General features: G+C 39.9%; 1 long non-coding RNA gene across 1 annotated transcript in view; it reads right to left on the bottom strand.

Moving 5' to 3' along the window:
- LOC105375836 (uncharacterized) overlaps positions 1–14,883 on the bottom strand; it is a 52,683-nt gene that overhangs the window by 14,885 nt on the left and 22,915 nt on the right. The window lies entirely within an intron of this gene.

Here is a 14,883-nt window from a genome sequence, read left to right as displayed (position 1 = left end):
CAACCTGCTGTCACCAAAGTCCTCTGGAACCCTGGCAGGAGGAGACCCCTTGACCAACACAGACACTTGAGTTGGCAGGAAGAGCTGCTTAGAGAAATGGTAGGGGCAGAACTCCAGCCTCAGTGGCCCAGAGGGTTTGGTGTGAGAGTGTCTGCAGTGGAGCACTGCCAGGAATGCTCATCCCCTTAGGCTTGACTTGCTCCCATAGGAGACTTTAACACCAGGGGAAATGTTGGACCTGAGCTCAGCAGAGCGTCTTGTCCATGAGATGGAGCCAGTCTGATCTTAGTATCCCTCAGTCTCCTGGGCTCTTCCATGGCCCCAGCCTGACCACGCCTGTTTGCAGTGCAGCTTTGGGTTCTGGTGAGGGGGCTGTGTACCTCCTAGGGGCCATATCATAGCTCCTGCCCTGGTGGATGGCAGCTGACCAGCGGAGAGCTCCAGCAGAGCAGCCCCCATGGGCATATACCAACACACTCATGTTCTCATTCCCACTGCAGCCTTCCCTGTGCTGCTTTGCCTGCATGCATTTGCCCATGGACATCCCCTACATTGCTTTGCTGGTGTGTGTGTAAGCGAGTGGACCTTGCCTATCTTTCCTTGTCAGCATACATGTGCACATGCACCCTGCCATGCTACTGCTGGAAGCATGAGTGCACCCTACCTCCCTACCCTCACTGCACCTGTCAGAGCATTGTCAGGCATGGAGCCTACCAGTCCCACCCCCACCAGCATCCTGCCCTTGTGCCAACACTGCTGTTGGCATAAAACTAGGCACAGAGAACACTGGACACACTCCCACACTGAGCAGCAACTGCCATATACAGGAATTCACACAGAGGACATACACAGTCCTGTGCACAGCAGCATCCCACCGCCATGCTAATAACCACCTCCAGTGTGAATGCACACACACATGCTGGTAGGGTCCCCCTCACCCCATCCCACCATGTCATGCTGCCATCACTGCTGCTCCAAACTCAGAGTCTGGCACCCTGGCACCTGCTGGCACCCCACCATAGCTGATGAGTTTGTACCCCACCATAATGCCACTGCTGCTGAGGCTGGCATGTGCAAACAAGGATGGATCCCACTGCCACTACCTCATGAAGCAATTTGGATGACATCACCCATCATAGTGTTGTGACCAGTAGTCTGGGACAACCGTGGAGCCTCTAGCACAGCAGGTTCCTAACCTCCAAGGGCCATAGAACAAAGCCAGGACCAGATACCAGTCCCCCAGAATTAGAGAATGTAGTCCAGGAGGCCTGAGCTGAGCCTTGGCCCCCTAAAATCTTCCAGAAATGAAGCCAGTTGACCAAAACCACCTTATACCACAATCAATCCCTCAAGGTCATAAAATAGGATAAAAGAAAAAAAAATCATTCAAAGAACAGCAACTTTAATGACTGAAGGAACACAAGTCCACAAAGACAAAAATGGACCAGCACAAGAACTCTGACAACTCAAAAAGCCAGAGTGCCTTCTTTCCTCCAAGTGACCACACTAATTCTCCAGCAAGGGTTCATAACTGGGCTGAAATGGTGGAAATAGAATTCAAAATATGGATAGGAATGAAGATAATCAAGATTCCAGAGAATGTTGAAACCCAATCCAAGGAAGCTAAGAATCACAAGAAAATGATACATGAGCTGGCAGAGAAAATGACCAGTACAGAAGAGAACAACATAACTGACCTGATAGAGCTGAAAAACACCCTACAAGAATTTCATAATACAACTGCCTGTATTAACAGCAGAATAGACCAAGCTGAGGAATGAATCTCAGAGCTTGAAGACTGGCTTTCTGAAATAAGACAGTCAGACAAGAATAAAGAAAAGAATGAAAAGGAACGAACAAAAACTCAAAGAAACACGGGATTATGTAAAGAGACTAAATCTGCAATATTTTGGCATCCCTGAAAGAGGAGAATGGAAGCAACTTGGAAAAAATATTTCAGGATATCATCTATGGGAACTTCCCTAACCTAGCTAGAGAGGCCAACATTCAAATTCAGGAAACACAGAGAACTCCTGCAAGATGCTTCACAAAAAGATGATCCCCAAGATGTATAATCATTAGATTCTCTAAGGTTGAAATGAAAGAAAAAATGTTAAACATAGGTAGGGAGAAAGGACAAATCACCTACAAAGGGAAGCCCATCAGATTAACAGTGGATCCCTCAGCAGAAACACTACAAGCCAAAAGAGATGGGGAGGCGGGGGTGCTATATTCAACATTCTTAAAGAAAAGACGTTCCAATAAAGAATTTCATATCCAGCCAAACTAAGCTTCATAAGTGAAGGAGAAATAAGATCCTTTTCAGACAAGTACATACTGAGGAAATTCATTACCACCAGACCTGCCTTATGAGAGCTGCTGAAAGAAGTACTAAATATGGAAAAGACAGTTACTAGACACTACAAAAAGACACTTAAGTACACAGATCAGTCACACTATAAAGCAGTCATATAAACAAGTCTGCATAATAAACAGCTAACAGAACAATGGGAAGATAAAATTCACACATATCAATACTAACCTTGAATGTAAATGGACCAAATGCCCCAGTTAAAAGGCACAGAGTGGCAAGCTGGATAAAGAAGCAAGATCCAATTCTATGCTGTCTTCAAGAGACCCATCTCACATGCAGTGACACCAATAGGCTCAAAATAAAGGGCTGTAGAAAAATCTATCAAGCAAATGGAAAACAGAAATAAAGCAGGGGTTGCAATTCCAATTTCAGACAAAACAGACTTTAAACCAACAAAGATCAAAAAAGACAAAGAAGAGCATTACATATGGTAAAGGGTTCAATTCAACAAGAAGATCTAACTATCCTAAATATATATGCACCCAACACAGGAGCACCCAGGTTCATAAAGCAATTTCTTAGAGACCTTCAAAGATATTTAGACTCCCACACAATAATAGTGGGAAACTTCAACACCCCACTGATAGTATTAGACAGATCATTGAGGCAGAAAATTAACAAAGACATTCAGGACCTGTACTCAACACTGGACCAAATGGACCTAATAGACCTCTACAGAACTCTCCATCCCAAAACAACAGCATATACATTCATCTCATTGCCACATGGCACATACCCTAAAATCAACCACATAATTGGACATACAACAATCCTTAGCAAATACAAAAAACTGAAATCATACCAACCACTCTCTTGGACCACAGTGCAATTAAAATAGAAGTTAAAACTAAGAAAATTGCTCAAAACTGTACAGTTACATGGAAATGAAAAACCTGCTTCTGAATGACATTTGGGTAAACAATGAAATTAAACAAATTTACAAGGAAAAAAACATTAAAAATTGGGCAAAGGACATGAGCAGATACTTTTCAAAAGAAAACATACATGCAGCCAACAAGCATATGAAAAAAAAGCCTAACATAACTGATCATTAGAGAAATGCAAATCAAAACCATGATGAGATACTATTTCACACCAGTCAGAATGGCTATTATTAAAAAGTCAAAAAGTAACAGATGCTGGTGAGGTTGTGGGGGAAAGGAAATACTTATACATTGTTGGTGGGAGTGTAACTTAGTTCAACCATTGTGGAAGGCATTGTGGCTATTCCTCAAAGAGCTAAAACCAGAGCTATCTTTCAACCCAGCAATCCTATTACTGGCTATATACCCAAAGGAATATAAATCATTCTATCACAAAGATACATGCACACATATGATCTTTGCATCACTATTCACAACAGCAAAGACAAAGAATCGACATAAATGCCCATTAATGGTAGACTGGATAAAGAAAATGTGGTACATATACACCATGTGCATATGGAATACTATGCATCCATAATAAAGGGCAAGATCATGTCCTTTGCAGCAACATGAATGGAACTGGAGGCCATTATCCTTAGCAAACTAATGCAGGAACAGAAAACTAAATACCACATGTTCTCACTTACAAGTGAGAGCTAAATGATGAGAACACATGGACACGAAGAAGGGAACAACAGACACTGGGGCCTACTTGCAGGTGGAGAGTGGGAGGAAGGAGAGGATCAGAAATAAGTAACTATTGAGTACTAGCTTAATACCTGGATGGTGAAATAATCTGTACAACAAACCCTCATGACACAAGTTTACCTATATAACAAACCTGCACATGTACCTCTGAAGTTAAAATAAAAGTTTGTGTTTTTTTCTTTTTAAAAGAGTCAGATTGCATTTTGCTCAACAGTTCATAAACAACTGGGCTAATGTCACCTGACTATATAACATTGAAATTGCTGGAATGAACACATCTCACTGATTGCCAGAGATAGGCCAGTGAATACTCCCTGAAACCCTAAAAAAGAGAATTACTTCTTAATGACTGTTAGCCTGAAAGACAATGATAGGTTTCAAGATGTCTAAGGTGGCAGTCACAGAGATCAGCACCTATTTCCCTATGTGAATTTATTGTTAATCCCAAATGAGCTGGTTGAGATAAAGTATTAATTCACTGAAAAGAATACTCTGGGGAAAAATAGTGCTAGTATATCATCATTTTCATGTTCCCTCCCATTCATGTTTTGCATTTTATCATTATTAACCATTGATATAGAATGGATATAAATCCTATATTTTGGTAGGATCATAAAACATTGGTACTGGGGGTAATTTTAAAAATTAACCCTCTTTTCCCTTACAAAACTAAACAGTTGGATTACCATGCAATGTGGCAATTGAACTCCCAGGTATTTACCCAACTGTATTTAAAACTTAGGTTCATCTAAAAACCCACACATGAATGTTGATAGCATATTTATTCATAATAGCAGATTTATTCATACTTGATAAAAACTAGATCAACCAAGATATCTTTTAATAGGTGAATGGATAAACTGCAGCATATCCATATAAAGGAATACTAGTCAGTGATTTTTAAAAAGAGCTACCAAACCACGAAATGACATGGATGATACCAAAATGCATATTTCCAAGTCTCACTTTCAGAAGCCACTCTTAAAAGACTGCATCCTGTATGATTTAAATTTTATGACATTCTGGAAAAGGCAAAACTAGAGTGAAACTAAAGAGATCAATGGTAATGAGAGGTTCAAGGAGAGAGAGAGAAGATTATAGGTGACGCACAAGGGATTTTTTAGGGCAGCGAAATAATTTATTTGTTACTGTAATGATGGATACATGCTATTATGACACATGTATATTGGAATTGAGCAATTAGGTTAATGGATGGCAGATGTACGGGCCAGGTTTCCTAGTTGCACAGGAATTTGCAGACAAGCAAGGGGAACTAGAATCATCCATGTAGTAATAGATTAGAATTGGAGACATCAGTATGACCTCATGTTTGTCTTAATATAGATCCAGATAATTACATATAGAAAAATTTATAGATGTGTATGTGTATGACCTATCATATACACATGTATTTCCTTGCTCTGTCAACTGAGAGAATCTAAGTAAAATGACACCCAGTAGCAATGAGCACACTTAGTGCTCAGATCATAGTTTCTAATGCCACTCTCCAATATAAGACATGAGCAACAATTCTAAGACTGAGGCAGGCAATATACAAGATTAGCCTGGAATGTCTTCCAGTGCCAGAAATTGAGGATATACTCAAAATAAATAAATAATCTTCTAATTCTGGGGATATGTCAGAGGATACAGGAACCAATTGAAAGATATCCCGTGGCTAAAGCTGGAACAATTTGAACAACAGAATAAAGTAGTATTGAATTATAACCCAAAGTGTAATAGAAATATTGATGAGTCCACACTGGCCTACAAATAACTAAACAAATAAATAAATGGGAAAAGAGACAAATTCCAAATATTTTATGCAGATGTTCCTCCCTCAAGGAGGTATTGCATGATTCCCTACCTCTTAAGTATTGGCTGTGCAGAATGGCTGCCTTCTAAAGAATATAGCATGGAAACAGGGGAAAAGAGTAACTTTGTGGTGGAGAAACCTGGCAAACGATTCTTCAGCCAGGTGGTCAAGGTCACCATCAAGGGTGACAAGTCATGTTGACAGTATGTACCCTTGATATGATGTGATAAAATGGCATTTTGCCTTGGGCTTCCTCCCAGCACAACCATAACTCAAGTTTACAACATAATAAAAACGTCAGACAAATCCCCAGAGAATGATATTCTACAAAATGCCCAAATAGTACTCCTCAAAACAATCAGGATTATCAAAAATAAGGGAAGTCTGAAAACCTGTCACAGGTAAGAGGGGCCTAAGGAGACAGACATGATGACTAAATGTAACACGGCACTCTGGATGGGACATGAAACAAAAAAAATTAGGTAAAAACTAAGAAAATGGAAAAATATATGGACTTTAGTGAATACTTATGTATCAGTATTGGTTCACTAATTGTAACATGTATGCTTACTAATGTAAGATGCCCATAATAGTGAAACTGGGCAGAAGATATACTGGAAATCTCTGTACCATTTTCTTAATTTTACTGCAAGTCTAAATTTGTTCTAAAAAATAAAGTCTATTAAAAAATCCCTCTAGTGCTATTACATATTCAGTTCTGTTTTCTTCCCATTATTTTTTCTCATTGCCATTTCATTTGGGAAGTTTCTATTAACATATCTTCAAGCTCACTGATTTCCTTAATTGTGTTAAGTCTACTAATGAGACCATCAAAGATGTTCTTTCATTTCGATTTCTAAAGTTTAAGTTTTATGTTTTCTTAGAGTTTCCATCTCTCTGTTTACATTTCCCATTTGCTTTTGCATGTTGCCTACTTTTGCTATGAGAGCCATTAGCATATTAATCCATTATTTTAAATGCCTAGTCTGATAATTCTAAAATTGCTGCCACATCCCAGTCTGATTCTGATGCTTGATTTGCCTCTTTAGTCTGTGTTTTTTCTTTTTAGTATGCCCTGAGTTTTTGTTTTTGTTTTTTTGAGCCAGACATGGTGTACTGTGTAAAGGAAACCGAGGTAAATATTCCTTTAGTGTGCAATTTTATATTTATCTAGGAAGGAGTTAGGCTGTGTTTACTGTTTGCTGTTGCTATAGGTATCCGAGGCTAAAATTTCTTCTAGTGCCCTTGTTTTCAACTCCCCTGTTGTCTTTGGTTTCCCTACAGATGTCTTCTAAAATAATCTGAGCCTTGCAGTTCTTTTTATCTGTAATCCTCTCTTATTATAAAAGTGTTCTATTGATACAGTGGTAAGGTATGGGGGAAAGCTAAATGTTTTGTAGTTCTATAACTGAGTCTCAGTCTTTTAATGGGCCTATGTTCCTGGGATGTAATCTTCACAAATGCTTCCTCATGCTTTTTTCACCGTCTTAGGTGGGATAGGAGGGGAACGGGGGCTGAGATTTTGTGTTTCCCTTCCCCCTCATTGGTTAGGCTCTGGTAAAACCCATCTTAGTTGATCTAAGTTTTCCTTAAGGAAATAACATAGTTTTCCTTTAGGATTTACCACTATTAATGAGACTGAAATGCTCCAAGTGTATTTCAAAATGATTACTTTCCTTCCCCTTGCTCAAATCAGGCAGGGTTTTCTCTCTGATCTTCACCTTGAGAATCTGGTAGTCTCTTGGAGTTGCAACTCATCATGTATCCCCATCACCACCACAGCTGGGCCCTGAGGGGTTTTTTCTCTACTGAAGTAGTCCATTCTCAGCCTCTAGGAATTAGTCCATCACCCTTTAAGTGTTTCTACTAGCTGGGGCTTTTGCTCAGTACACTCTGGTTCTCCATATCTTTCTCTTTCCAGCTTTTGAGTCAGTAATTGGTCTTGTCACCTCAATTTTCTGATGGATTTAAGAAGAGTCATTGATTTTCAGTTTTTTTAGCTTTCTTCTTCAGAGAACAGAGGTGATAACATGTAAGCTCTTTTGTGTCAGACCAGAAACCAGAAGTCTCCAGAAGCAAAATGAAGATGTGCTCCTTTGCTCACTTGGTGCCCACTGAATGCAGGGACCTGCACTCACTTGGAGACAGAGAGGGGCTCTTAGCTCTCCTGAGGCAGTTTAGCTGAAGACCATGTGAAATTTGGATGTAAGCTTGAAGCAATGAAATGTTGATACCATCCAACTTTGATGTTTCACTCTCTTGCTCTATGCTTTGAGTAAATGAGTCGATACAGGGTTCAAAGAAACTAAACAAGCCAAATAGTCAACTTTCATGGAGAAACACAATAAGTAAATGGGTGATCTTCCTTATAAGTGTGACCAACTTTTTTTCTAGAATTAACATACTGTGGGAGACTAGGAACTATCACATTCAATAAGTCAGAATATTCATGACAGATCACACAGTAAAGATAATTGTGTTTTCTGAATAATGAAGGCATCTATCAGCCTCACAAAGTGCTGGTTCAGATGCCTATGAAGTTGGAATTTTCTGTGTCACAGGAGGAAAACTTGGTGCTGTCTCTATCAACAGTGTCATTTCAAATTGATTCTAAGTCTTGGCTAAAAGTCAAGAGCACTCTGTCCATACAGTGAAAGAAAGCAGATAAAAAAGGTGTTCTTCTAATGGACAAATAATTTTCTTATCACTGTTATCAGAAAGCCATGGAAGCTGCTCGTGCCAAGGGAATACATAGATTATTTACCAGAGATAGATAGCTATCTTGCTTCATGGTTTTACATCAGTTGGGATAAAAGATCTGGACAACGTATTAACACTTGTCTTGGATTCACTCCAGTCTTCTATGTTGCAAGCATTTGAAAACAGAAGGCGAAGCAAATGTCTCCCAGGCAATGATAATCTCTATATTGAACTTTTCCTTCTGGAACATTTGGGACTGTCCTAGACAATAACAGCTATTATTGACTAAGTGCTTTTGTGAGCTGACTATTGTTCTACACACTTTTCAGGTTTTAACTTGTTTACCTCTCTAAATAATCCTGAGGTAGGCATTGCCATTGTTTCCATTTCATAAAAGATGAAATAGAGACTTCAGAAGGCTAGACAACCAGTGCAAGCTCATTGATGTGACAAGTAGCATGCCAATATCACTCTCTGCAGCCTGGTTCTAAACTTTTTTTGCAAAGAAATGCTTCTATATTTTGACACTTTCATCAATGAGGATGATCTCAGATCTAGAGTCTCACAGGTGCCATCTTGGAAGACAGCAAGGATCATGCTGGAAGAAGGGGCCCTGGGCTTGCTCTCTATCTGTTATTTACCATAGAAAGTCTTCTGCTCCTTAAAGCATAATAGTGGAGAATGACAGATGGCTGGCAGTGCCTAGCTGGCGTCTGTAGCTGTGACCTCAGAGGAAACACTTGTTCCTTTTTCTCTTTCAGAGGAAAGTTGAACAAAATGAGGAAAGACTCATTTTGCATTTCCCATTGATCCGATTTCAAATACTTAGGAATAAATCCTTAAAACACTACCTCTTTAACAGATAGTGTTTCCTGTATTAGTTTCCCAGGGCTGCTATAATGAAGCACTGCAAACTGGGTGGCTTAGAAGGACAGAAATGTTTGTCTCCCAGTTTTGGAGACTGGAAGTCTGAAATCAAGGTGTCAGTGGGGCCAGGCTCCCTCTGAAGGTTCTCGGGAAGAGTTCCTCCTTGAATCTTCCCAGGTTCTGGAGGCTGCTCATAATCCTTGGTGTTTCACAAACGATGGACACATGGCTCCAATTGCTGCCTGTTTATCACATAGCCTTCTCCCATGTGTCTTTGTTTCTGTTTTCTTTTCTTATAAGGACTGGAGTTAGGGCCCACCCTATTCCAGTGTGACTTCATCTTAACTAGATTACATCTGCAAAGATACTATTTCTAAATAAGTTTACATTCTGAGGTTCTGAGTGGACATGAATTTTAGGGAGGCACATTATATGGAAGCTGAGTAGTTAACTGAATTTGAAACTCCTCAGAAATTATGTGATAGAACAGAGCCAAAAGTCTGGGGTCCACTCTTTTTCTTGTTACTGAGCAGCCCTGAGGGCCACACATGAGCATACGTTGTGGTCTCTGGGGACTTAGCTGACAAACATTTGAAAACCAAACCCTGACATCTGTTACACGTGGAAGAAGCTGAGGGTAGTATGACAAAATGCCATTGGTTCATTTGGGCTAGGGTCGCAAGAGTTTTTCTAAAGGTTCAGTTTAAAGAGTAAGTTTGGTGAATTTCTATTCCGACATTAATCACCTAGAGAAAGTTGAAGATTTTATTTTAAAATCTAAGATATTTCAGATCATTTCAATGCTCAGAGATTGTTAACAATTAATATTCAGAAACGCTATTGTGTTGCCAAAAGCTGACTGATTTGTAACCTGTAGCTCTACATTAAAAAATACAGAATCCTCATGGGTTTATTTTCACATTCAGTTACCTGGTAAAGCATAACAAACATGAAAACAGAAGGTCTGTGGCTGAATTTCATTTGATTTTGCATTTGATTTGCGAGCCTACTTGATATTGCTGTGCCCCTTGTTATTGTCTTTAAATGTGAATTTGGCAGCGTTGATAATTTCCTAAATGTAACTCAAAGCTGCATGGCATCTGGCAATTAGGAGCGTGATGGTTCACACAAGTTCCAAAGACACCATGGTAATAGTTCTATATATAAAATTTCCACTTCCTGCATCTGCATGTTGGAGGACCAGATGCTGTATTTGAGGCATGTATTTTGCAGGATGTGGTGAACCCATCAGAGCTCAGTTCAGTGAAACAGCAGAGGTCCTCTTCTGACCTCTCTTTTTTACATTGTGGGTCCTGTAAGCACCAGCTTCATTACCAGGAGTTCGGTAAATCAATACACATGGTTTATTTCAAAGATACTACTAATGAGACAGAGCGAGGTGAAGGTTAAGGAAGAGAGCTCAGTCTCCCTTATTTGGATGTGAATTCTTGGGGCCAGCAGAAACACCAGCTGGAAACATACCAGGGAGCTTTATGCAATGGCTGGGGCACCCCCTCTTTTTCATCATTTAGGCTAGCAATGGGGGATAGAATGTCTGCAAGGGTTGGCGATGCTGATATTCATGTCCTCTTCTTCCTTCCCTCCTGCCTCCCTCTGCTTTCGCCAGACATTATGTACCCGGAAGCTTGCCAGCTGGCAGAAATGGTGGCTAACCAGCATGCTCGACCATTAGCAAGAAAAGTCTGCTCCCAAGAATATAAATGTGTATTTTGAAGGATTACCCACTGTCACAGGGTTATATGACCTTCTTAAAAGAGAAACAAACAATGATCTTGTATCTCTGCCTGCAAGGAAGAAAGAGGCAAGATAGTGTAAGGCTCAGGAGCCTGGACTTTGCAGCCAGACTGCCTGGGTTTGGATGGCAAGGCTGCTGCTGAGCTGCCACCTGACTCCTGGATTGTGTCCTCATATGTTAAATAAGGTACTAATAGGACCTGGCATGTAGAGTTGTGCACGGGCTACTATAATAAATAAAACACACACTTCTGTGATTTAACTAGAAGTGTATTTCTACTTCACAAGTAGTCCAAAACTGATACTTCTGATTGTCAAGCATCATCCCTTCAGTGATTAAGAGACTCACTGTGTATGGCTCCACTATCTTCAACAAAAGGTATCCAAGGTCATGTTTCCATCCAATTTCAGATGAGAAAGGTTTTTATGGGCCAGGCCTGATAATGGTGCACATCCCTTCCACTCCCATTCCATTGGTCAGACTCAGTCGCCTGACCACATTTAAGCATATGACTATTTAGGAAATAGCTGTGTAATCAGGAAGAAGAGGAGTCGGTTTGGTGGACAGCTAGTCTCTCACCATCACAAGATTTATGCAAAATCAGTGAGTTATTATGGATAAAGTATTCACTTTGAACATTACATGCACACTTCTAATGTTTTTCCTAACATTCTGTCATGTAAACTTTCAAATATACAAAACTGTTGAAAAAAATTTTATAGTAAACTCTGCACCATCTACCACCTAGATCCTACATTTACACTTTATTCTGTTTGCTTTATCACATTCCTATCTACCTATCCATCCATCTTGCTCTCTATCCATCAGTACACCTCATTTATTCAAAGTAAGTTGCTTGTTGCTTTGTTACATTTTCCCACTAAATACTTCAATGTATGTGTCATCAGGTGTTCAAGATTTGTTTAAACTTGTTTCTTTTGAGGTAATATTACAAAAAATCCAATACACAAATCTTAAGTGTAGTATTTAATGAGTTTTGATAAATGTATGCACCAGTATGACTGATATGGTTTGGCTGTGTCCCCACCCAAATCTCATCTTGAATTGTAGCTCCCATAATTCCCATATGTGGCCGGAGGGACCTGGTGGGAGATAATTGAATCATGGAGGCAGTTTCCCCCATACTGTTCTCATGGTAGTGAATAAGTCTCATGAGATCTGATGGTTTTATAAGGGGAACCCCCTTGTGCTTGGTTCTCATGCTCTCTTGCTGCTGCCATGTAAGACATGCCTTTCACCTTCTGTCATGATTGTGAGGCCTCCCTAGCCACGTGGAACTGTGAGTCCATTAGATGTCTTTTTCTTTATAAATTACCTACCCAGTGTCAGGTATGTCTTTATCAGCGTGTGAAAACAGACTAATAGAATGATCAAACACCTATTAATAAATAGATTATGACTATTACATTAGAAATTTCCCTCTTGCCTTCCCAACAACCAACACTCACTGACCTTCTCCCCAACTTTGTCCTCACTGAACACAATGATTGTTCTGATTATCTCCACCATAAATTAGTTGTGTCTGCTCTAGAATGTAATATAAATACTATAATACAGTATTAAATACTAAAGTACCTTTATTTTGTGTGAGATTTCTTTTATTAAGCATGGTGTTTTGGGGATTTAATCTTGTTGCATGCATCAATAATTCAGTCCTTTTAATTAATGAGTGGCATTCCATTATATGAGTGTATCAGAGGGTCCACACCACCACTTTCCTATTGTTGGACACAAGAGCTATTATGAATAAAGTGTCATAAACACTCTTGCACAAGTCCTTTTGTGGGCATATGTCTTTACTTGTTTTGAGTGACTACCTAGGAGTAAAACTGCTGGGTTACAGGAAAGATGCATAGTTAGTTTTATGAGAAATTGCATATAAATGACCTTTAGAAAAATAAAGGAAGAGGTGATAAGCAAAGTATGTTTATAAGACTAGTGATTCTTTTCACTAGCTGGGTATCAGAATCCTCTGCAGGGCATAAAAGTAATAGATACCGAGCGCTGTCCAAAACCAACACTAAGGGTTAAAGTGGGAAGTCCTTGTATTTCAAAAGTGCCACAGAAAACTCTGCAGTATAGTTGGTGTTAATAACCATGGCTCCGGGTCTTAATGAACTTATTAACAAGAGGAAATTTTACTTGCCTGCATATCCTCAGAGATGAGCATTGTGCTGAATTAACAGAATTGGGAGAAAAGTACTTCAACTGAAATATTTAACACTGTAGTTTGAATATTAAATATGCTTATTTTACCCTAAGGAATACATCCAAGATTAGGTATAGAAATCTAAACCTCAAGTAATTTCAGTTAAGAGTCTTGTGTTACACATGTACTTCACATTATATTTTCAGGGTTAACAAGCAACACTTACCAACTAAGGTCACATTCATCATTATTTTCTCTCTGGCTGCCCTTAACATTTCTTCCATTTCAACCTTAGTGAATCTGACAATTATGTGTCTTGGGGTTGCTCTTCCCGAGGAGTATCTTTGTGGTGTTCTCTGTATTTCCTGAATTTGAATGTTGTCCTGTCTTGGTAGGTTGTGGAAGTTCTCTTGGATAATATCCTGAAGAGTGATTTCCAGCTTGGTTCCATTCTCCCTGTCACTTTCAGGTACACCAATCAAATGTAGGTTTCGTCTTTTCATGTAGTCCCATATTTCCTGGAGGCTTTGTTTGTTCCTTTTTATTCTTTTTTCTCTAATCTTGTCTTCACACTTTATTTCATTAAGTTGATCTTCAATCTCTGATATCCTTTCTTCTATTTGATCAATTTGGCTCTTGATACTCATGTATGTGTCACGAAGTTCTTGTGCTGTGTTTTTCAGTTCCATCAGGTTATTTATGTTCTTCTTTAAACTGGTTATTCTAGTTAGCAATTCCTCTAACCTTTTTTCAAGGTTCTTAGCTCCTTGTATTGGGTTAGAGCATGCTCCTTTAGCTCGGAGGAGTTTGTCATTACCCACTTTCTGAAGCCTACTTCTGCTAACAGACAGACTGCCTCCTCAAGTGGGTCCCTGACCCCTGTGCCTCCTGACTGGGAGTCACCTCCCAGCAGGGGTTGACAGACACCTCATACAGGAGAGGTCTGGCTGGCATCTGGCAGGTGCCCCGCTGGGATGAAGCTTCCCAAAGAAGGAACAGACAGCAATCTTTGCTGTTCTGCAGCCTCTGCTGGTGATACCCATGCAAACAGGGTCTGGAGTGGCCCTCCAGCAAACTCCAGCAGACCTGCAGCAGAGGGGCCTAATTGTTAGAAGGAAAACTAACAAACAGAAAGGGATTGCATCAACATCAACAAAAAGGATGTCCACACAAGAACCCCATCGAAAGGTCACCAGCATCAAAGACCAAAGGTAGATAAATTCACGAAGACGAGGAAAAACCAGCGCAAAACGGTGGAAAATTCCAAAAACCAGAACGCCTCTTCTCCAAAGGTTCACAACTCCTTGCCAGCAAGGGAACAAAACTGGATGGAGAATGAGTTTGACCGAATTAAGACTTTTTGTTGTCTTTGTTTTATAGTGAATTAAGAAGCCTGTCTAGAGCCCATTATTGCCTTCTGGAAGGTAACTACGCTTCAAGTTGGTGTGACCTAAAGGCAGAAGTGAGTTCAGCAACTCTAATCACAGAATATTGAGCTATGTCTGGCAATGTCTGGTTAGATCTGTATGTCAGATATTTTTGGCAAATGTTGAATCAAAATCCAGA

This window comes from Homo sapiens, chromosome 8, assembly GCF_000001405.40.
Source record: "Homo sapiens chromosome 8, GRCh38.p14 Primary Assembly".
Lineage (NCBI taxonomy): Eukaryota > Metazoa > Chordata > Mammalia > Primates > Hominidae > Homo > Homo sapiens.
This window is presented reverse-complemented; position numbering and strand designations above follow the sequence as displayed.